The sequence below is a fragment of the Homo sapiens genome, chromosome 13 (assembly GCF_000001405.40).
Source record: "Homo sapiens chromosome 13, GRCh38.p14 Primary Assembly".
Lineage (NCBI taxonomy): Eukaryota > Metazoa > Chordata > Mammalia > Primates > Hominidae > Homo > Homo sapiens.
Window position 1 is genome coordinate 113,415,548 of NC_000013.11, and position 22,677 is coordinate 113,438,224.

Below are 22,677 nucleotides of genomic sequence, written 5' to 3' on the forward strand. Positions count from 1 at the left end.
CGAGGCCAGTCTGGCCAACAGGGTGAAACCGCAACTCTACTAAAAACACAAAAATTAGCTGGGCACAGTGGTGTGTACCTGTAGTCCCAGCTACTCAGGAGGCTAAGGCAGGAGAATCACTTGAACCCAGGAAGCAGAGGTTGCAGTGAGCTGAGATCGTGCCACTTCACTCCAGCCTGGGTGACAGAGTGAGACTCCATCTCAAAAAAAAAAAAAAAAAAAAAGAGAGAGAGAGAGAAGCAAGCTCGCCTCCTTAGTAGTTTTTTTAAAATTGGTTTTAAATAACACAGATCCCTTTAATTTGAGGCTCCTAACATTTTACAAATAAATCTATACTTGATCTTAGCCCAAAGGCTGAGGAGAGATTACTAAAGAATCTAATATTAGATTTATGAAAAAGAAAATCTAACCCCAAGGGATGAGTATTTTCTAAAAATCCTGGAAGGCCAGGGGCCCGGCTGGGATCCCGTGGGGTGGCCGAGAGTGGCCCCCAGGCGGCGGCAGAGCTGATCTGGCCAATCCCCTCCCCAGCAGCTTCTGAGCATCATTGCAACGGTCACCGTCTATCTAGTAAAGCCGAGAACAAGTGTTTGCTAACTGCTCCCTGTTGATTTTTTGTAACTAGGTGGGGAATAGCTCAGACTGTACTAATGAATCAGCTGGAGAACCTGAGTATCTGTATTTCCTGGAAATAAATCTGGCTAATGGTCGATGTGGACTTTTGGGCTAGGATACCCCAAGGCCTTGACCTGAACATCTTTTTGTGACCTACATAAGATCTTATATGTGACTGACTTAGCTGGGACCCACAAAGGGGCGTCTGGTAAACCGGCAGTGACCAACGAAGGGATGTCTAGTCGGCCGGCTGTGACTGATAATGGGGACACTGTCCATCCCAGGCTGACTGAGGCCATAAGCGCTGGATGCTCTCCCAGGCCTGAGACATGAGTAAGTCAGCAGAGGGTTCCAGGGATGCTTGCCTGCCGCCTAATTACAGCAACTGCCTAGGGTCCCTCAGTACCTGTGGGACATACAGGGTATCGGGTTAGTGAGCTTCTGTCACCAATTTGTGCTACAAACATATAGATTATAAAGGAAACCGATGAAGCAGTAGGCACAATTTCTAACACATAATAAAAACACAATATAGTATATTATATTGCAACAGGATGCTGTTATGTTGGATAATAGCGTTATTGAAGGTTAAATTCCGATTTTGAATAAGCAAACAGTGGTTACAGAAGAGCCTGTCTTTTCTGAGGAATTTCATCTGAAATATTTATGGTGAGAGGATATAGGGTCGGCAGGTTATTCTCAAATGTTTCAGAAACAATTGTGTGTGCGTGCTCATATGTGCGAGGGTGTGCGTGCGAATGCACGAGTGTGTGCAGTGAGAGATGAGGGAAAATATTAACGGCTGCTGATCCTGGGCAAAGGGGCGTGGGAGTTGTCGGAGCTAGTTTTTTTGAAACAAACTTAAAAGTGAACCATTAAGATAGGAGAGAGAGACAGCAAAGCTGCGTCATGACAGGTGTCATTCAAGGACCGTGACAGCACAGACGGCTGCTGGGAGAGGCGATGCTTTGCGGAACCCCGGATGCACCAGCACCCCACTGGCAGGGCCCCGGGGACTCTGTGCTCTCTGGTTTCCTGGTGTGTGGGACAAGACAAGGCTGTCCCCCCAATCTGCAGGCTGGTCATGGTCCCCGCCGGCACCACCAGGGCCCCAGGTCGTGCAGCCTGTCTTGCCCGAGGGAGAGCCAGAGTGGGGGGTCCTGGGCGATTGCCCTTCTCAGGGTACAAGGAGGATGGGGAAGGCAGGGAGATGCTGCCCACAGGGCCACACGATGGTTCAGACCCTGGGGACCGCCCCTGTGGCCATCAGACAGAACGTTCGCGATGTGTGTGGTGCCAGACACAGAGTGCCCCAGATCAGGCGCAGTCCCTGCCTTTGTCTGTCTGTCCCAGATCAGGCGCGGTCCCTGCCTTTGTCTGTCTGTCCCAGATCAGGCGCTATCCCTGCCTTTGTCTGTCTCAGCCCTTGTTTGCTGACCAGCAGCCGCTGCTCGGGGTGTGGCACACGAATCCCGAGACGGTCTCAGGCTGTTCTTTGAGACTCATGTGAATGCTTTTCCCGCAACAGGCTAAGTGAGCTGATAACTTATTTCTGTGTGTTAACTGGAAATGCGTTTACACACCAGGGATTTTAACCAGGGAAGCTTCTGTGTGTTAACTGGAAATGCGTTTACACACGAGGGATTTTTACCAGGGGAGCTGCAGTGCCTGCACTGAGATTCCAGTTATTTCCAACCTAATGGGACCTTTGGAATGCATTTCAATGATGGAGTTTTTAAAGCACAGATGTTTGGATTGAACATCAGTTTGGGTATTACCAATTTTATCAGCTGATATTTTATTAATTTTTATACCCACAGCCAAAACAGGTGGCATTGGCTTCTGGCAGCTTGGGCCTGAGGTTATGCAATCGCCAGGGTTTGCTGAGGGCTGTGGTGGTGGTGAGGTCTTCCAGAATTAGGGGAAGGGGAGAAGGCTTGAGTGTGGTTTTCGGATGCGTCGGGTTTAAAAGCTACTCTGTGCTCATGAACTGCAGCTCTGGGAGAAATACTCAGACCCCCTGAATCTTAGTTTCCTTGTCTACAAAATGGGGGTAGTAAAAAGGGCCCCGCTTCTAGTGGAGCATGGAATAGACAGGGGAAATAACATTCAAATGCCACCTGCTGCATGGCTGGCCATTAGGGAGCCTGCAGCAGCATGGTTCTCGGTCTGACGGGGGCTGGGCTTCGCCACTTCCTCGGCTGGGTGCTCTGAGCGGCTGCCCTGCCCACTCAAGTCACCGAGCCTCCCTGGATCCGCTTCCTCCAACGTGGGAAAGGAAGGACAGCTCTGCCATGGCTTTCAGATATGAAAACACTGGACACAATAATTTTAAATATAAATGCAAAATCTCTAATCAAAGAGTTTGGGAAAACGGATTCATCTAAATCAGCCTGAAGTCTAAACATGTGTGTGTTACTGACATGCTCATATTCCCACATGGCACATGTTCCTAGTGTGTGACTTCTGTGTGGTGTGTTCATGAGGACACACATGTCCTTTCTCAGCCACGATTGGAACTCTCCATCCCAAGTCCTGGCTTCAGAGCTCACATCCGTGGGCCTGAGAGAAAGGTGTCTGCCAATAGCTTCAGGCTGAGAATGGGCATATTCTGGACCCCACCTTCCTCTGAAGCACCCTTGTCTGCCATCTGGGAGTGAGAGGCACTCATCCTCCTGCCTGCCCCTTCCTGGTGCCTGATGTCTTGCAAGAGATGCGGATCCACAGGGATGTGCAACACTGATGCTCCCAGAGAAGAACCCCTGGGGAGCTACACCTTGCTGGGCCTAAGAGGTTGTATAATGTGCCCTCTTTTCCTTCCCTCCCTCCCTCCCTCCCTTCCTCCCTCCCTTCCTTCCTTTCTTCCCCTTCCCCTCCCCTTCCCTTCCTTCTTCTCCTTCCTTCACTCCCTCCTTCCTTCCTTCTTCCCTCCCTCCCTTTCTTTTTTCTTTCTTTCTTTTTTTTTTCAGGGTCTTACTGTGTTACCCAGTCTGGAGTACAGTGATGTGATCTCACCTCACGGCAACCTCAACCTCTCAGGCTCTGGCAATCCTCCCACCTCAGTCTCCCAAGGAGCTGGGACTACAGGCGCCAACACCATACCCAGCTAATTTTTGTATTTTTTTTTTTTTTTTTGTAGAGATGGGGTTTTGCCATGTTGCCCAGGCTGGTCTCAAACTCCTAAGCTCAAGCGATCCTCCCGCCTCAGCCTCCCAAAGTGCTGGGATTACAAGCCTGAGCCACCTGGCCACACCTTATTTCATAAGAATGTCTTGGAGAAAGAAAAATAAAAACTCCATCACTTAAACTATGGACACCATAAAATATAAGATGCACCACAATTTCAGAAAAATTAAATACAAAAATGAATCCTAGAATGAAATACAGCATCGCTGCGCTGTAGGGAGAGACTAAGTCCTTTTCAGAAGAGCTGGGGAGCAACACTGGAAGTCGCCATAAGAGCAGGTGTTTGCAAATGCCACTCACGCGATGGAAACCACTGAGAGCCACATCCATGGGGTATTTGAATTATGGCACAGGAGTACAATGGAATACTAGGCAGCAGTTAAAAAGGCGCAGATTGGTCTATGTATGGTGATACAGATAATATTTTAAAACCTAGTTTAATGAAAACAGCCAAAAGCAAACCATGACATATACCATGCTTCCTGTTTGGGGAAAGAAATAGTGTGTGTGGCATAGCACACACATGCAGGTGTGTCTCACATACAGGTGGACAGCCAGGGTGTGTGTGTGGAGGAGGCTCCTGGGAGGAGAGCATGGCCTTGTTATCTCACATAAGCAGGTGTGTCTCACACAGGCACACAGCTCGGGGGGTGTGTGAGGAGGCTCCTGGAAGGAGGCTTAGGCGACCGTGACCGTGTTATCTGGGTGGTTGGAAGCAGCTTTCCCCACACGCCGCCTTTAACAGCATTTGGATTCGCGAAGCTGTGCACACGTCATTTTTATCGCAAAAATGAAACCTGCCGGTGCCGTTTTAAACAGCAGAGTTGGCTCAGTGTCCCCTCAGTGCTTTCTTTGGCTTTTTCTTTTCAACTTTTGGGTGTCTCTGTAACAGGAAAGTGAAGCAAGGCACTGCCAGCTTTTGTTTACGATGCTTGTGGATTTTGTGTTTGTGTGTTTTAATCTATAATCAGTTTGTAAATAGACTCACTTTCTGATTCTCACGGAGGGGTTTGATTTGCGGATGGAGACCGAGTCCACCCTGTTTGAATGCAGCCGCGCCCTGCTCATGCGAGCTGGCCTTCTCTTCCATACAGCAGGGTGGAGAGGGAAGCCCACTTTCCGGTAAGCGGGCAAAACAGGTACTACGACCGTGTTACTTATGCTAGCAACAGTTCCGACTTACCTTAATTGGGTTTCTTTTCCTGAAAGGTAATTCTCAGTTAATTTCCCCACACCCACGGGTGCTGGGACCACACTCCATGGACGTGTGTGACGTGAGGCCCTTCGCCCCCGTGTGCCTGTCTCTCTGGTTCTTCTGACTTAAAGCACCAGTAGCAGCACAGTTAGTCCAGTTATTCGGAAGCTCAGCACGGAGCCACATTGCTGCAGCATAGAAGGCCACGGATTCCTCCATCAGCATGGACTACACTTCCCACAAAACGAACGGGGCATCTCTATGGAAAAAGCAAAGCGTGTCCCTATCCCTGGGACACCTCTACCCCTGGGACACACCTAGCCCCAGGACCCGCCCACCCCCGGGACCCGCTCACCCCGGGACACCACTACCCCTGGGACATGCCCACCCCTGGGACAACCCTACCCCCCCCGACACGCCCTGGGACACGCCCACCCCCCAGGACCGCCAACCCCTGGGACATGCCTACCCCTGGGACACCCCTACCCCCCGCCAACATGCCTACCCTGGGACATCCCTACCCCCAGGACATGCCTATCCCCAGGACATCCCTACCCCCAGGACATGCCTATCCCCAGGACAGACCCACCCCCGGGACACGCACATCCCCAGGACAGACCCACCCCCAGGACACGCCTACCCCTGGGACACCCCTACCCCCGGGACACGCCCACCCCCAGGACACCTCTACCCCCGGGACACGCCCACCCCAGGGACACGCCCACCCCGGGACACCTCTACCCCCGGGACACGCCCACTCCCGGGACACGCCCACCCCGGGACACGCCCACCCCCGGGACACGCCCACTCCCGGGACACCTCTACCCCTGGGACACGCCCACCCCCGGGACTTGCCCACCCCCAGAACACGTCTACCCCTGGGGACACCCCCATCCCTGGGACACGCCCATCCCCGGGACATGCCTACCCCCAGGACACCTCTACCCCTGGGACACGCCTGCTCCTTGCACTGAATGAATGCAGGGGTCATTTCCATCAAGGGGAGGCGGCCGGGGAGTGAGGCGCCTGGAAGTGGTTGGCGGGGCTGGCCCGGGAAGCCTGGACCCAATGCACCTGGGAGCTGGGAGTCCGTGGCCCCCACCTGTGAAGTCCACCAGCCTCTCTTGCCAGTCCACTCACACAGGAATCCTAAGTGGGAGCATAAAGACATCACCACTTTCCCCTTTCAAATCATCCCATAGAAGAAGACGCCCGTGGGGGTAGGGCTTGTATTTTGGATGCCCACAGAGATTCCAACCAACCAGGCTTTCTGCCCCAGTGCCTTCTCTCCCTGAGGCTGGGGCTTCCTCTGGGATTCCAACTCTGCCCAGAGGCGAGCCCTTTAATGAAATCACAACAAAAAGAGAGGCCCTAGCCAAGCGGCCAAGCACAGCGGTAAACATCAGTCAACTGCTGTTTTATTCACACCAGATGCTGCATGGAAAAATCACGTCCAAATTTATTTTAAACAAGAGCAAGTGGTCTCTTTTCCAAGACTCTCTGAGAGAGAACCTCATCACAGGGACAGCGCTTCCTCGTCAGCGAGCCCGATGGGGCAGGCGCGGAAGGGAAAGGCCTTCTCTGCATTTGGACTTGGCCCACTAAGGCAGACCACAGAGAGACGCCGGAGCTGGCAGGAGGCCATTTATGTTCTGGTTTTCTCCGTGAGTTGTTTCAAAAAGGGATTGATCTTAAAATCTAGTGTGATTAAAAAGGTGGGTGGGGTTAAGAGCAAAATATGCTGCTATATGTGTCCCGCAGGCCCCAGTGTGGACTGTTTCTCTGTCCAGGAACACACGACCCACTGTGGACATGGGAGGGTGGGGGGTGGGGGGAGGTGCATTGGCCCTCACGGGGAAACGCATGCCTGGAGGCAGAGGCAGGACAGAGGGTCTGCAGCGGGGGGGCCTGCTGGAGGCCACCACCGCAGTTAGTGTTGTTGAAGTGAGTGAGTAAACAGCATTAGCTCTGCGACAGAATAAAATACAGCGCCTGTCCAGGAGACTGCGGGTGAGTGCCACGCATGGAGGTCCAAGTGCGGCAAATCTACGCAGTGTCAATGTTGATGGTGGAGGACGGAAAATATTCTCGCAGGACAAACAATGTATTTTATGCAACAGTTAGGATTCTGAAATTGGAAACAGAGAGTTAGATGTGGCCAGTCAGGCACAGACCGCAGTGGAGCCTCACAGAGACACCCTCACCCAGGGGCTGCGAGAGGGCCCTACGGGCCCCGGGGTGGAATCGGCTCTCTAGGGGGAAAGTGGCAGAAATGGCTTTACTTCTCCTCTGTGGACAGGCGGTAGAGAGCCGCGCCCAGGTCCTCCAGCTTCTCCTTGTCCTCCAGGTCCTGGTACAAGCCTTTGGGAACGAGGTCCAGGCCGTACAGCAACCCGAACAGGCAGCCTGCAATGGTGCCCGTGGCCGCGCTCTCCCCTGAAACGCAAAGGCAGCAGTTGCAGTGGGCTCCACCTGACCAGGGCCTCTGCAAGACCCCTGGGGCTGGCCGCCCCTAAGGTGGGCCAAACCCCAATTCTGCTGGGGGCAGCTGATAAAAGGGACAGGCAGGCCAGCGCGGTGGCTCACGCCTGTCATCCCAGCTACACAGGCGGCTGAGATGGGAGAATCTCTTGAACCCGGGAGGCAGAGGTGGCAACGAGCCGAGATTGCCTCTCTGCACTCCAGCCGGAGTGACAGAGTGAGATCCTGTCTCAAAAAAAAAACAACAAACCCAAAAACAAACAGGAGGGGGACAGGCGCTTCCCTTCTCCCTCCCTGGGGCAGGCATCTGTGTGAAGCGGTGTTTCAGCACTAAGAGTCAGTGAGGTGCCAGGAAGGTGCAGAAGGAAGGCAGAGGGAGGGGAGCCCGAGGCCGCATGGTCCCACCCTTGAGCTGGGGTCACGGAGGAAACCCCTCCAGGGGCTGAGCCGGCTCTGTGCAGAGGCTTCCTGACCAAACGGGGCCACATTTGTGTTTTCCCAGCTCATGTCTGTGGTCAAGCTCAGCTCCAAGCCTCACTGAAGGGAGGCAATTTCAGCCAGTCTCACAGAACCATAACAGCTGCTCCCACAAGGCACAGGGTTGACCTTACGGGTAGGAGCTGCCTGGAGCTGCCACAGCCACTCTGCTGGGCTTCCTCCTCTCCCTCCATGGCCAGAGACGGCCAGGGCGGCACAGAGCCAGCACGGATGGAGCAGGATGCGAGCCCAGGACCTAACTCCAGGCCACAGTCTGCGACTTTGCACAGAGGCTGCAGAGCAAAGGACAAGATGACGGTGACCTTGGAATGGAACCCTGTGAAGGTGGCCAGCCTGAGGCAGCAGTGGCAAGGGCAGAAGCCCCCACACCCCTACACCCCACCTATTCTAAGGCTGCACTGGCCTCCAGGCTCGTGGACCAGGTGAGAGACTCTTGGTCTGCTGGAGCTCACAGCAGGCACCTGCAGCTGCACCTGTATCCTGTAATGTCCTCACATGAGCACGCTTAGGTCAGCAGGTATACCCTGGAGCCTGTGCCCTCCCAAAGTGGGTTCCAGAAAGGAAGAGATGGACGCACATGCTGGAGCTCAGGAGGTGGCCCCTGAATGCCTGCAGTCCTAGGACACTCCGAGGGGGTGCTTCAGAAGAAGGGTGCTACCCTCCAGGAAGCCACGGCCATTAAGGAACATCTCACCTCCATGAAACATGGCCCGGTGACACAGCTCAGTCCAGCTGTTTCCTGCTGCAAGGAGGGCGTCATAGGCTATCATGGGGGCATCGTGGCCTCGTCTTCCCCCTCGACCTTCCGAGCTCCACTTCCTGTAGGTCTGACAAGAGAGCCGTGGGTCGGGGCGTGTGCCCAAGTGGAGCCACTTCTGGGTATATTACAGCACAAGCTTTCTGGGCCCCTCCTAGTGAACTGCCATTTCATCCATCCACCCTTTTCTTTTTGAGATGAATCTGGCTCTGTCCCCCAGGTTGGAGTGCAATGATACAATCTCAGCTCACTGCAACCTCCACCTCCCGGGTTCAAGCGATTCTCCTGCCTCAGCCTCCCGAGTAGTTGGGATTACAGGCGTACACCAGCACACGTGGCTAATTTTTTGTATTTTTAGTAGAGATGGGGTTAGCCACCCACCCATCCATTCACCATCCATTCATCTATCCACCCATCCATTCATCCATTTACCCACACATTTACCTACCCATCCATTCACCCACGCTTCTACCTACCTGCCCTTCCATCCACCTACCCAACCACCCATCCATATACCCACCCACCCACCCATGCACCCATCCATTCACCTGTCCACCCATCCATCCACCCATCTATTCATCCATTCACCCACCCATTTACTTACCCATCCATTCACGCACCCTTCCACCCACCCATCATCCAAAATCCATCTATCCATCCATCTATCCATCCATCCATTCACCTACCCACCCACCCATCCATCCACTTGCTATGCACTTATTGAGCACCACTGGTGTGCCAGACATTGCCCCAGTGCCAGGACAAGGCTTACCTTTTCCCTCTCTTCTGCATCATAATTGTCGGGGAAGATGGCTTTATTTTCTGAGTCTTTACTGATTTTCCTCTCCTCCAAATAAAATTGCCATTTAGCTTCAAAGTAAAACCAGTGCTCCTGGTATTCTAAACATAAAGAACAAGGGGAGCTGAACACAATGGCATCCATGGAGTGGGGCGGGTGCAGGGAGTTGGGGGTGGGGAGGGTGGGGGCGTGTGTGTGGCGGGGAAGTGGCAATGCCCCCTCTACCCAGCTGCAGGCATGTGGAGAAGCCGAGCACCTGTCCTGGAGTAAACAACTGAGAGACTGTCCAGAATTACCAACATGCTGACATTTGTAGCTGCTTTCTTTCTTTCTTTTTTTCCTGAGACGAAGTCTCCCTCTCGTCCCCCAGGCTGGAGTGCAGTGGCGTGATCTCGGCTCACTGCAACCTCTGCCTCCCGAGTAGCTGGGATTACAGCTGCCCACCACCACACCCGGCTAATTTTTGTATTTTTAGTAGAGACGAGGTTTCACCATGTTAGTCAGGCTGATCTCGAACTCCTGACCTCAGGTGATCCACCTGCCTTGGCCTCCCAACGTGTTGGGATTACAGGCGTGAGCCACCATGCCCGGCCTCTTTTTTCTTTCTTTTTTTTTTTTTTGAGACGGAGTCTCTCTCTGTTGCCCAGGCTGGAGTGCAGTGGCACCATCTTGGCACACTGCAACCTCCGCTTCCTGGGTTCAAGCGATTCTCCTGCCTCAGCCTCCTGAGTAGCTGCAACTACAGGCACCCACCACCACGCCCGGCTAATTTTTGTATTTTTAGTAGAGATGGGGTTTCACCATATTGGCCGGGCTGGTCTCGAATTCCTGACCTCAAGTGATCCTCCCACCTCGGCTTCCCAAAGTGCTGGGATTACAGGTGTGAGCCACCATGCCCAGCCTTTAGCTGCTCTGAAAGGACAGCAAGCAAGATGGAGATGGGGCAAAAGCATTCTCGTTACATTGTTGCATTAGCCCTGTGCCTGCAGAGCAGGGCGTGGCATGTTTCATTACTCCTAACTGAAATCCAAGCCCCTGAATGCTCTAGGGACTTCTTAAGAGGTCATCTGGCCAAGAGGACGCTGACTCAGAAGGGAGTCTGAACCTGCAGCTACACACCCTACAGACCACAGGGAATCGCCTTCCCCGCCGTGGAGCCAGGAGGTGTGCAGCTGCCCAGACCCGGGCCCACTGCCCTCCTGCCTGCCTTACGGTGAGCACCCCTGCCCGCCACACCCCACCTCCTGCTCCCTGGCACCGCGGGAGCCACAGAGGGTGGGAGCCGTGCAGGCCGCTGGTGGCTGTCAGGCCCAAGGGACACGTGTGCCGATCACATGAGGTGACAGGGCACAGATCCTGTCTGCCTGGCCGTGGTTGGAGAGCTCAGGGCGCTGGAGAGCAGAGCTGGAGGGCTGCAGCGGGGAGGCTACGCTCCTGCCACAGAGCTCCAGGCCACAGGGAGGCCAGGAGAGCCCTGGACCAGGACCTGGACGAGGCTCACAGGCACCCGCGACTCAGGCCCTCCGAAACTCTGGGCCAACTTGGTTTCACACAAGGAAAAGTCCAGCCCCCTTAGGGTCTTGTTCAGCGACATGAAATTGGAAGTGAAAGACGCAAAAGTAAGAGGGCAGCGGTCACAGGTGCATCCCATGAACCCACAGGGCCTGAAACTCCGGGTGGAGCGTCAACATGGACCTGGGCGCAGACTGAAAGCACTGCCTCTCACCCGAGTCAGCCGGGGTTGGCCAATTCGGAAACAGACGTCTAAATACAAAAGCAGGGAGCTAATTTGTGAACTGTCCTCACTGCAGAGGGCCGTGTCAGGTGGGCTGGTCAGAAGCCCAGAGCAGTGTTTCCGGAGGGTGTCCTACGGGACTTAACGATCTCTGGATGATTTTAGATGCTCTGTTAAAAAGGTTTCTGTGTCAAGGGAATTCATGAAACTCTGGGTTAAACAAATTTGAAATAACAGATTTATTTGGAGGATTGTTTCTCAGAGCTTTAAACTGGTATCTGTGCATTTCAAATCCCTAAGAGAAAGAATAAAGCTTTCTGAAGAACAGTCAGAAACATTCCATGAACACAAAGGGGAGGAGGTTTTGCTGGTTAGATAATTCCAACTGTTCTCAGAAAATGCTTTGAGGAAAACCGTTTTGAATACCAAAGTTCTGGGAGAACATTCGTTAATATACTGTGAATTCAGTAATGGCGTGGCCCCATGCCTGACTGCTCACCTGTTTCTAAGGTGGGTCAGGGCGACTCTCCTGGGGTTAGGGAGATGACTTAGCCCCTGGCTGCAGACAACAACCTCAGCTGGAAAGAACCCGGCACCACCGGCTTAGCCATCTCCATGTTAGTCAGGCTGACCTCGAACTCCTGACCTCAGGTGATCCACCTGCCTCGGCCTCCCAAAGTGTTGGGATTATAGGCGTGAGCCACCACGCCCGGCCTCTTTTTTCTTTTCTTTTTTTTTTTTTGAGACGGAGTCTCTGTTGTCCAGGCTGGAGTGCAGTGGCACCATCTTGGCACACTGCAACCTCCGCTTAGCCATCTCCCACCGCTCCCACACCAAACGGTAAGAGAGATGAAACCACTGGAAACAAAGTGTGCTGTGGCCTGCCAGGTGTGCTCAGCAGTCACGCTTCCTGAGGACGGCCCGGTCACGGGGAGCACAGAGCAGTGGCTCAAGGAGGTACTGACTGTGTGCGGACGCTGACTTTCTTGCTCCCATCAGCACAGGCCTGGTGGCTGAGCAGCCCCTGAGCTGCGTCCAGGCGGGTATCCGTGCCTGCACCCCCGTGGAAAGCTGTGAACCAGACCCCCATAAGGCGTTTCAGAACACGTGCCTGTGCCTTGCAGGGGAAATAAAGCGATTCACTGGTTTTTCTGTTTCTAGAAGACTTCAGACCAGGCGAGGTGGCTCATGCCTGTAATCCCAGCACTTGGGAGGCCAAGGCGGGTCAGTTGAAGTCAGGGCGACCTGGTGAAACCCCGTCTCTACTAAAAATACAAAAAACTAGCTAGGCGTGGTGACGGACGCCTGTAATCCCAGCTGCTTCGGCGGCTGAGGCAGGAGAATTGCTTGAACCTGGGAGGCAGAGGTTGCAGTGAGCTGAGATTGCATCATTGCACTCCAGCCTGGGTGACGAGCCAGATTCCATCTCAAAAAAAAAAAAAAAAATCAAGAAGACTTCAGCCTGAGGCTGTTTTGAAAAATAAGCAAACCTGATCCTACATTCAAATCCTCCCTCTCCTTCTCAAGGACACACACACTGGATACGTTATTTCCAATTTCCTCAACCATGCAAGGACGCCAAAGGCTGCATGAAGCTGCCTGTGCTCCCCCTGCCGCCCCCTCCCCTCTTAGACGGCACCTTCCGTGGGGTGGAAGAATCTTCCGGAACCGTCACGGATTTCCTAGTCCCATACCTGCTGTCCCTGCCTCTGGCCAGCCTCATGGGGCTCCTGAGGGAAGGGCCCAGCCCTGAGCTCGCCCAAACCGGCAGAAGCAGAGTTTTTCCAGGGGGCACCACAGGTCCCACTCACATCCCAGTGGCTGCCAGTCGCTTGGTGCCGCGGGCTGGGGTGGACGGGGACGGGTGGACCCGCCGGAGGCAAATGTCCCCGGCAGGCTCAGGTCTCTCTGAGGCTCCGGGTGGGGAGGCAAAGCCTCCCAGGTCAGGGCAGAGGCAGACTGGTCAGGAGCAGCATGGGGCCTGCCTTGCGAGGCCAGCTCTGCTCACATGGCCCGGACAGGGCCCTCCCAGTTCCATCTAAGAGCGAAAGTGCCTTGAAGTATTTGGGGGCCCATGGAGGGGCTGGATCTGTCCAGATCTGCTCTGAGTGCGGACTGGGGCCGGGGGAGCGGCTCACCTGCCGTGTGCCGGATGGTCTTCCTGCAGTACTCTTCTGCCAGAGGCACCGCCCGCAGCATGTCTCTCCCCCACTGGACCAGGGGCTTTCCTTGTGCGGCGAACGACACAAACAGGGCCGTGCACAGGGAGCCCAGGAAGCCTGGAGGGCAGGGAAGAGAGAGGGGGCACCATCACCTGGGCCGCTTGGGAGGGCCTGGGGCCGCCCGCCACGCTGCGTGGGACTCCCGAGGAAGGGTTTGCTCGTTTTCCGTCTTTCCCATGTTCAGGTGCACAGTTCGGCGGCATTAACCACGTTCACACTGTGGACATTCTCCATCCTCCCTGGAACTCCCCATCTTCCCAAACTGTAGCTCTGTCCCCACTCCACTCACCCCACCGCCCTCCCCAGGCCCTGGCCGCCCCCAGTTGACTTTTCTGTCTCCGGATGTGACTGCTCTGGGTGCCTGCTCCTCGTGGGACCGCACGCGATTTGTCCCTTTGTGGCGGGCGTGTTCCACTCAGGACGCATCCCCAGGTTCACCCGCGTGGCTCGCCACGGCTTCCCTTCCTCTCCGCGGCTGAATCGCATTCCGTGCGTGGACGAACGCATTTTGATTGCCCGTCATCTGTGTGTGGATGCATGAGCTGCCTCCGCCTTTGGCTATTGGGAACACCGCGTCACGTAGACCTTTAGCATCCGTGGCCGGGGATTATCAGTTAACGAGCCTGTGCAGGAAGAAGGCTGAGGTGGGGGCTCTCCTGACTTGAGAGCGACCCCGCAGAGCTCTGGGTCCGTTGTGCACACTCAGGCGTTTCCTGTGCGGGGCCGACTCACTCGCCCTGCTGGTGCTTGGGGCTTTTCTTGCCTAACTTCTGGGCGTGCATTAGCAGCCAGCAAGCTCATCAGCACAGACAAGCTCAGAGCTCATCTTATAGGCACTGCCTCCCTTATTTTCTTTGGTATGTCAAATTTTACAACTGTTTACTGAAAAATAAATGCATGCGAGTATATATGTATTTAATAAAACACGGTTAAGGAAGAAGTCCGGGAGGCCTGTCCTGGTCCATCTTCCAGGGCAGTGGGGAAAGATGGAGCCAGCGGCTTCTGGGGTACTGAGCTCACCCCGCAGTCCACACAGCCAGCCCTGCACCTCACGGAGCAGGTGGCACTGGGTGCGCAGCTCTCAGGGAACATGGCCACGTCTGGCCCCACTAGGCTCCCATCCACCATTGCAGTGGCCTCATTCCGCTAGTGTGCAAGCCATCAGAGAGGAGCTCGGAAGAGACTGATCTGAATTACGATGATCCTGGCCATAATGAGGCTAACAATGCCCAGGGCTGGCAGGACAGTCCTGGAAATCCCGTGGTCACCGTCTGGGTGGAGACAGCCCTGGAGGGGCTGCCTCTTCCAAAGACATGAGCTCTCTCCTCTCACTGCTAGCCATCGTGGGGACTGCAGCCGCTGCGGGTCAGTAGTGGCAGGAGGCGAAGTGATGGCCATGGTACTCATGATGTAGTTTCAGAGATGCAGTCGTGTGGGAGGACTAGTGACGGCCGTGGTGACAGTACCAGTAGCAGCAGCAACAATGGTGGTGGTACTCGTGACGGTCAGGGTGGGAACAGTGTGGTGCCAGTGACTGCAGCAGTGGTTGTCGTACTAGTGACGGTATCATGTGGAGGAACTGGTGATATCAGTGGTGACAGGACCAGTAGCAGCAGCCATAGTGGTGATGGCTGTACTGGTGACAAAAGCGGAGCAGTGATAAAAGGCGGGGGTGGCACTAGTGGCGGGGGTGGCAGTGGCACCAGTGGCGGGGGTGGCAGTGGCACTAGTGGTGGCGGTGACAGTGTTGCTAGCGACAGCAGCAGTAGGGATGGTGTGGTGCTGCCGATGGGAGCAGCTGTGGTGGTGGCAGTAGTTACAGTGCGAGTGGCCATGCAGGGGAGCAGTGACCCCCGTTGCCGAGCCCTTGCCCCACTGGGCACTGCTCCCAGGGTGTCATCTGCCACTCAGTCCTCACGAGAGCCTGTGAAGGGCATGGTGATCACCCCTCTTGTGGATGGGGCATGTGGGGCTGAGAGGTTGTGTTGCTGTTTTGGAGCCATGTTAGCTTCAGAAGGTTCTGCTGTGGACCCTGTGGGTGTGTCTGAGGCCCACAGCCACCTAGGAGAGGGGCGAGCCTGCTGTCACGGCGCCATTGGCCAGAGGCAGGCTCTGCGGTGGGTGCCGCGTGCGTTCTGACATCCCACTTCTCTGTACACCGGGGCTGTGACACTGCCCTGCCGGGGCTGTCGTGGGGAAAAGATGACCCTAAGCCCAGGCTGGGCCCACGGTGAACGGCCACTCAACACGGCCGCTACATGGAGCATGGTTGCCCGTGACACGCCATGCGGAGACAGGCCGCAGAGACAGGCTGCAGAGACGCTTTCCAGCGGCTGTTGGGCCACTCTTGAAGGCACTCATCAGGGCCTCCCTTGGCCCGGCGGGAGGGCTGCAGCAGCGGCAAGAGTCTATGAATGGTTCTCAAGCCCAGGGCTCTGGGCCGGTCCTGACCCTGCCTACGGCTCTGCCCCCGCGCAGGGTGGCTGCAGCTCTGGACTCATGGGAGCACGCGATGCAGGCTGTAACACAAACTGTGGCTCTTACTGCCAGAGGTGGTTTGAAAATGGAAAAGGGAGTAGAGTTAAAAAGCACTTTGAAGTGTCAATTTCATAAAATCAAACCCTTAAAACATTTTTGGTCATTATCATAGAATATATAAATTATTCATCTATTAAACATGTGAAATAATTTTTTTTTTGAGATGGAGTCTGACTCTGTCGCCCAGGCTGGAGTGCAGTGGTGTGATCTCAGCTCACTGCAACCTCCACCTCCCGGGTTCAAGCGATTCTCCTGCCTCAGCCTCCTGAGTAGCTGGGATTACAGGCATGCACCACCGTGCCCAGCTAATTTTTGTATTTTTTAGTAGAGACGAGGTTTCACCATGGGGGCCAGGCTGGTCTTGAACTCCTGACCTCAGGTGATCCGCCTGCCTTGGCACCCCCAAAGTGCTGGGATTACAGGCGTGAGCCACCGCGCCTGGCCGTGAAATAATTTTTAAAATATGAGTAGGAAATATATTAGCAAATGTTTTAGAAATTTAAATTATTAACACAGATTCTTGTGCTCATTACATTGTTTTCAAATGTCCAGCTTTTTTTTTGTTTTTGAGATAGGGCCTCGCCCTGTCGCCCAGGCTGCAGTGCAATGGCGCAAACACAGCTCACTGCAGCCCCAACATCCTGGGTTCAGGCGATCCTCCTACATCAGTAGCTGGAAACACAGGTGCGTGCCGTCATGCCTGGCTAATTTTTAATTTTTTTGTAGAGATGGAGTCTCCCCGTGTTGCCCAGGCTGGTCTCGTACTCCTGGGCTCAAGTGATCCTCCTGCCTCTGCCTCCCAAAGTGCTGGGATCACAGGTGTGAGCCGCTGCACCTGCACCTGGCAAATGCCCAACATTTTCGGGTCTGAAGGTTTTAATTTTTAATTTGCGCCCAGTTGCAGCACTCAGCTAGCAGGAGTCCAGCACTGCTCCCTTCTCAGCATCTGACTCTGGCCCACCAGTTGGGTCACGTGCCTTCCCTCTTTCATTTTAACGAGTTAGCAAAGTTGCCTGTGAGTCCACTGCTTAGGCCATCTGTCCCCAGGGTAGTAAAGGCACGCACCTGCTTTGCTGCAGACTCAGTGGGGGTGGGACGGCCAGGCCGGCAGAGCTGCGTGTTGATCGAAGGCCGGTTGCTCACCGCTGTTCTCACGGAGGGGTGGGCAGCTCTGCCCTCCTTGTTGGGATGCCAGTCACAGCAGATACCAAAAGGTAATCTTGAACGAGGCTAGCGTGGCTGTTGGATGTGCGTGGGACTGGGCGGTGCCAGGACTAAGGGCCAACTGCAGGTCAGGAGTTTTGAGTCCTTTTTGCTTTTTTTAAATGGAAGCCAACCGAGCCGCCTCCTCATTACCTTTCAAAGTCAGGCCTAGAGTCAGGCGCTACCGCAGCCACCCCAGCCTGGCCTCTCAGAGGCCTGCCCTCCACAGGACGGGCTGCGGACGGGGACAAATCCCAGTGAGCAGCTGGCCAGCTGGCACAGACCACAAGGACGGAAGTGCCGTGTTAAGGGGGCGACATGATCCAACCCGCTTCACCCTCACACAGCCCGATTTGGGGGTGTGATTCACATGTGGCAGTCGCCCCGTTACAGGTTAGAAACCTGTGGCCCGTGGGGTGGAGCCGCTCCCGTGGTTCCCGTGGTCTCCTTGGCTCCCTTGGCCGGCGGGTGGTGGGGCCAACCCAGGGCACAGCAGGAAAATGCAGGAAGTATTGTACAAACCCTTGTCCCCAGGGTCCCCCCGATCCCACCTGCACCCAGGCACTGGTGCGTTTCTTTGTCTTTTGTTCTGACACAAATGATACCAAAACCACTGAATTCTTCCCTTGCACAGTTTCTTCAACATCACCGTGCTTATCGCTAATCCTGCTTTTGGGCTGAAAACAGGCCTTAAGCAAAGCAGATTAAAAAATAAGCCAACTCCCCCAACAAATAAAAAAATCGATGTGAACCCACAAGATTTCCAGCCCAGTGTCCCGGGCAGGGCGCCCTCACAGCAGGCAGCCGGCAGGTGCAGGGTCAGCTTCTGTCTCCTTTAAGCAGACGTGCAGATGGCGGCAGCTCCAGGCCCCCGCCCCCCACCCCACACTTAACCTGTGAGGTGGTTGTGGGTCATCCGGCCGCACTCCACGCTGACCTCCCTCCCACCCCCCGCCCACACTTACCTGTGGGATGGTTGTGGGTCATCCGGCCGCACTCCACGCTGACCTCGATGAGGGTCTCCAGCCGCTCAGGCTTCCAGTACCGCAGGCCGATGCACATGGCCTTGGTGGCCGCTCCAAACCCTGAGCCTGTGTGGAGAAGGAAGAGCTAGTTTAGACTTCTGCTCCAATAATTCCACCCCTGACAATCTAGCTTTCATGAATAATTTTAAAAGTAGAAAAATTTGTGTAATAACATGTTATCAGAGTGTGGTTTAAATGAGCGAGCCATGGGCAGGCCACTCAAGTCCTGCAGCAGAAAGGAGATGGGGCAAATTCGGTTGCATCCAAGTGTCGGGTGTTAGTCACTAAAAACAGAACGTTTGATGGCCTGGAGATATGCTCGTGATTTGCAGCATGCTTTCAACGAGATGTTTTCCCTGTAAAAACAGCTTCATTGAGTTATAACTACATACAACAAACTAGGCATAATGAAACATGCACGACCCTAAGATTTTTATACTGGTGTACCGCGGGACCCAGCACCCAGGCGCAGGGTGAACATAGGTGTACCCCGGGACCCAGCATCCACACGTAGAGTGAACATAGGTGTACCCCGTGACCCAGCATCCAGGTGCAGGATGAACATAGGTGTACCCTGGGACCCAGCACCCAGGCGTAGAGTGAACATAGGTGTACCCTGGGACCCAGCACCCAGGCGTAGAGTGAACATAGGTGTACCCTGTGACCCAGCACCCACACGTAGAGTGAACATAGGTGTACCCCGGGACCCAGCATCCACATGTAGAGTGAACACAGGTGTACCCCGGGACCCGGCACCCAGGTGTAGAGTGAACACAGGTGTACCCCGGGACCCGGCACCCAGGTGTAGAGTGAACATAGGTGTACCCTGGGACCCAGCACCCACATGTAGAGTGAACACAGGTGTACCCCGGGACCCGGCACCCAGGTGTAGAGTGAACATAGGTGTACCCCGGGACCCGGCACCCAGGCGTAGAGTGAACATAGGTGTACCCTGGGACCCAGCACCCAGGCGTAGAGTGAACATAGGTGTACCCCAGGACCCGGCACCCATGCATAGAGTGAACATAGGTGTACCCCGGGACCCGGCACCCAGGTGTAGAGTGAACATAGGTGTACCCCGGGACCCAGCACCCAGGTGTAGAGTGAACATAGGTGTACCCCGGGACCCGGCACCCAGGTGTAGAGTGAACACAGGTGTACCCCGGGACCCGGCACCCAGGTGTAGAGTGAACATAGGTGTACCCCGGGACCCGGCACCCAGGTGTAGAGTGAACATAGGTGTACCCCAGGACCCGGCACCCAGGTGTAGAGTGAACATAGGTGTACCCTGGGACCCAGCACCCAGGTGTAGAGTGAACATAGGTGTACCCCAGGACCCGGCACCCACGCATAGAGTGAACATAGGTGTACCCTGTGACCCAGCACCGAGGCGTAGAGTGAACATAGGTGTACCCCGGGACCCAGCACCCAGGTGTAGAGTGAACACAGGTGTACCCCGGGACCCGGCACCCACGCATAGAGTGAACATAGGTGTACCCTGTGACCCAGCACCCAGGCGTAGAGTGAATATAGGTGTAGCCCGTGACCCAGCACCCAGGCGTAGAGTGAACATAGGTGTACCCCAGGACCTGGCACCCAGGTGTAGAGTGAACACAGGTGTACCCCGGGACCCAGCACCCAGGTGTAGAGTGAACATAGGTGTACCCCGGGACCCGGCACCCAGGTGTAGAGTGAACACAGGTGTACCCCGGGACCCAGCACCCAGGTGTAGGGTGAACATAGGTGTACCCCGGGACCCAGCACCCAGGTGTAGAGTGAACACAGGTGTACCCCGGGACCCAGCACCCAGGTGTAGAGTGAACACAGGTGTACCCCGGGACCCGGCACCCAGGTGTAGAGTGAACACAGGTGTACCCCGGGACCCGGCACCCAGGTGTAGAGTGAACACAGGTGTACCCCGGGACCCGGCACCCAGGTGTAGAGTGAACATAGGTGTACCCCGGGACCCGGCACCCAGGTGTAGAGTGAACACAGGTGTACCCCGGGACCCGGCACCCAGGTGTAGAGTGAACATAGGTGTACCCCGGGACCCGGCACCCAGGTGTAGAGTGAACACAGGTGTACCCCGGGACCCAGCACCCAGGTGTAGGGTGAACATAGGTGTACCCCGGGACCTGGCACCCAGGTGCAGGGTGAATACAGGTGTACCCCGGGACCCAGCACCCACATGTAGAGTGAACATAGGTGTACCCCGGGACCCAGCACCCAGGCACAGAGTGAACATAGGTGTACCCTGGGACCCAGCACCCAGGTGTAGAGTGAACATAGGTGTACCCCGGGACCCAGCATCCACACGTAGAGTGAACACAGGTGTACCCCGGGACCCGGCACCCAGGCGCAGGGTGAACATAGGTGTACCCCGGGACCCAGCATCCACACGTAGAGTGAACACAGGTGTACCCCGGGACCCGGCACCCAGGTGTAGAGTGAACATAGGTGTACCCCAGGACCCGGCACCCACGCATAGAGTGAACGTAGGTGTACCCTGTGACCCAGCACCCACACGTAGAGTGAACACAGGTGTACCCCGGGACCCAGCACCCAGGTGTAGGGTGAACATAGGTGTACCCCGGGACCCAGCACCCAGGTGTAGGGTGAACATAGGTGTACCCCGGGACCCGGCACCCAGGTGCAGGGTGAACATAGGTGTACCCCGGGACCCGGCACCCAGGTGTAGAGTGAACACAGGTGTACCCCGGGACCCGGCACCCAGGCGCAGGGTGAACATAGGTGTACCCCGGGACCCGGCACCCAGGTGTAGAGTGAACATAGGTGTACCCCGGGACCCGGCACCCAGGTGCAGGGTGAACATAGGTGTACCCCGGGACCCGGCACCCAGGTGTAGAGTGAACACAGGTGTACCCCGGGACCCAGCACCCAGGTGTAGGGTGAACATAGGTGTACCCCGGGACCCGGCACCCAGGTGCAGGGTGAACATAGGTGTACCCCGGGACCCGGCACCCAGGTGTAGAGTGAACACAGGTGTACCCCGGGACCCGGCACCCAGGCGCAGGGTGAACATAGGTGTACCCCGGGACCCGGCACCCAGGTGTAGAGTGAACATAGGTGTACCCTGTGACCCAGCACCCACACGTAGAGTGAACATAGGTGTACCCCGGGACCCAGCACCCAGGTGTAGAGTGAACATAGGTATACCCCGGGACCCAGCACCCAGGTGTAGAGTGAGCATAGGTGTACCCTGGGACTCGGCACCCAGGCGCAGGGTGAACATAGGTGTACCCCGGGACCCAGCACCCACACGTAGAGTGAACATAGGTGTACCCCGGGACCCAGCACCCACACGTAGAGTGAACACAGGTGTACCCCGGGACCCAGCACCCACACGTAGAGTGAACATAGGTGTACCCCGGGACCCAGCACCCACACGTAGAGTGAACACAGGTGTACCCCGGGACCCGGCACCCACACATAGAGTGAACATAGGTGTACCCCGGGACCCAGCACCCAGGCGCAGGGTGAACACAGGTGTACCCCATGACCCAGCACCCAGGTGTAGAGTGAACATAGGTGTACCCCAGGACCCAGCACCCAGGCGCAGGGTGAACACAGGTGTACCCCGGGACCCAGCACCCAGGTGCAGAGTGAATGCCTCTGTTGACCCTGAAGCCGCCGGTGCCCTCTGCAATCCGTCCTCCTGCCTCTCCCAAGCCCCACTGCTGCGACCGTGCGTGTTACTCGGCGTGTTCCAGGCCCTGTGTAAACAGAATCACGGAGAACGTGCCGTGCTTTCCGCCTGGCTTTTGTCACTCCTTATAACTGCTCTGAGAAGCGCCCACGTTGTTGGGGATCAATAGTGATTCCTTTTTATGGCTGAATAGCTCCCTCTTGCATTGATCTGCCATGGCTGCTCTATCTGCAGACCTGCAGTTTGGGCTGTGTCCAGTCTGGGGCTCTGAGCATGAGGCACCAGATCCTGGTGTGGACAGAGGCTCTCTTCTCTTGGGCGAATGCTGGGGCAGAGCCTCCAGATCACGTGGTGATGAATGTTTAACTTTTTTGTTTGTTTGAGATGGAGTCTTGCTCTGTGGCCCAGGCTGGAGTGCAGCAGCCTAATCTTAGCTCAGTGCACCTCCGCCTGCCAGGTTCAAGCAGTTCTCCTGCCTCAGCCTCCTGAGTAGCTGGGATTACAGGCACACACCACCATGCCTGGCTAGTTTTTGTATTTTTAGCAGAGATGAGGTTTCACCTTGTTGGCCAGGCTGGTCTTGAACTCCTGACCTCAGGTGATCAGCCTGCCTTGGCCTCCCAAAGTGCTGGGATTACAGACATGAGCCACCACGCCTGGCAGAATGTTTAACTTTTAAAGAAACTGCCAAATGGGTTTCCAGAGTCAGAGTGGTAGAACCATTTGATGTCCCTCCAGTAGATCTTCCACAGCCCT

The 22,677-nt window shown here is 55.6% G+C and overlaps 1 protein-coding gene across 5 annotated transcripts in view, besides 6 other annotated features; it reads right to left on the reverse strand.

Moving 5' to 3' along the window:
* Positions 1–22,677, reverse strand: part of ADPRHL1 (ADP-ribosylhydrolase like 1) — a 53,879-nt gene that overhangs the window by 15,938 nt on the left and 15,264 nt on the right. For 2 of the 5 annotated variants that reach the window (XM_047430086.1, NM_001394807.1), the window contains exons 3-7: positions 18,195–18,320; positions 13,405–13,545; positions 9,505–9,632; positions 8,670–8,802; positions 7,279–7,432 (exon numbers count right to left, since the gene is read on the reverse strand). In XM_047430086.1, coding sequence (XP_047286042.1) covers positions 7,279–7,432; positions 8,670–8,802; positions 9,505–9,632; positions 13,405–13,545; positions 18,195–18,320 — 682 coding nt within the window. Of the gene's footprint in view, positions 1–4,984; positions 5,225–6,397; positions 7,433–8,669; positions 8,803–9,504; positions 9,633–13,404; positions 13,546–18,194; positions 18,321–22,677 lie in introns of those variants that run through there. The other 3 variants (NM_138430.5, NM_199162.3, XM_011537461.3) reach the window with 2 other exon arrangements.
* Positions 1,302–2,302: an enhancer, noted in NCBI's record as "H3K4me1 hESC enhancer chr13:114071164-114072164 (GRCh37/hg19 assembly coordinates)". NCBI's record gives its function as "activates a minimal SCP1, AML or CMV promoter by ChIP-STARR-seq in naive H9 embryonic stem cells {active_cell/tissue: H9 hESC(naive)}" and the evidence as "EXISTENCE:reporter gene assay evidence [ECO:0000049][PMID:30033119]".
* Positions 2,303–3,303: an enhancer, noted in NCBI's record as "H3K4me1 hESC enhancer chr13:114072165-114073165 (GRCh37/hg19 assembly coordinates)". NCBI's record gives its function as "activates a minimal SCP1, AML or CMV promoter by ChIP-STARR-seq in naive H9 embryonic stem cells {active_cell/tissue: H9 hESC(naive)}" and the evidence as "EXISTENCE:reporter gene assay evidence [ECO:0000049][PMID:30033119]".
* Positions 5,496–6,208: an enhancer, noted in NCBI's record as "H3K4me1 hESC enhancer chr13:114075358-114076070 (GRCh37/hg19 assembly coordinates)". NCBI's record gives its function as "activates a minimal SCP1, AML or CMV promoter by ChIP-STARR-seq in primed H9 embryonic stem cells {active_cell/tissue: H9 hESC(primed)}" and the evidence as "EXISTENCE:reporter gene assay evidence [ECO:0000049][PMID:30033119]".
* Positions 6,921–7,632: an enhancer, noted in NCBI's record as "H3K4me1 hESC enhancer chr13:114076783-114077494 (GRCh37/hg19 assembly coordinates)". NCBI's record gives its function as "activates a minimal SCP1, AML or CMV promoter by ChIP-STARR-seq in primed H9 embryonic stem cells {active_cell/tissue: H9 hESC(primed)}" and the evidence as "EXISTENCE:reporter gene assay evidence [ECO:0000049][PMID:30033119]".
* Positions 10,329–10,876: an enhancer, noted in NCBI's record as "H3K27ac-H3K4me1 hESC enhancer chr13:114080191-114080738 (GRCh37/hg19 assembly coordinates)". NCBI's record gives its function as "activates a minimal SCP1, AML or CMV promoter by ChIP-STARR-seq in naive H9 embryonic stem cells {active_cell/tissue: H9 hESC(naive)}" and the evidence as "EXISTENCE:reporter gene assay evidence [ECO:0000049][PMID:30033119]".
* Positions 15,206–15,786: an enhancer, noted in NCBI's record as "H3K4me1 hESC enhancer chr13:114085068-114085648 (GRCh37/hg19 assembly coordinates)". NCBI's record gives its function as "activates a minimal SCP1, AML or CMV promoter by ChIP-STARR-seq in naive H9 embryonic stem cells {active_cell/tissue: H9 hESC(naive)}" and the evidence as "EXISTENCE:reporter gene assay evidence [ECO:0000049][PMID:30033119]".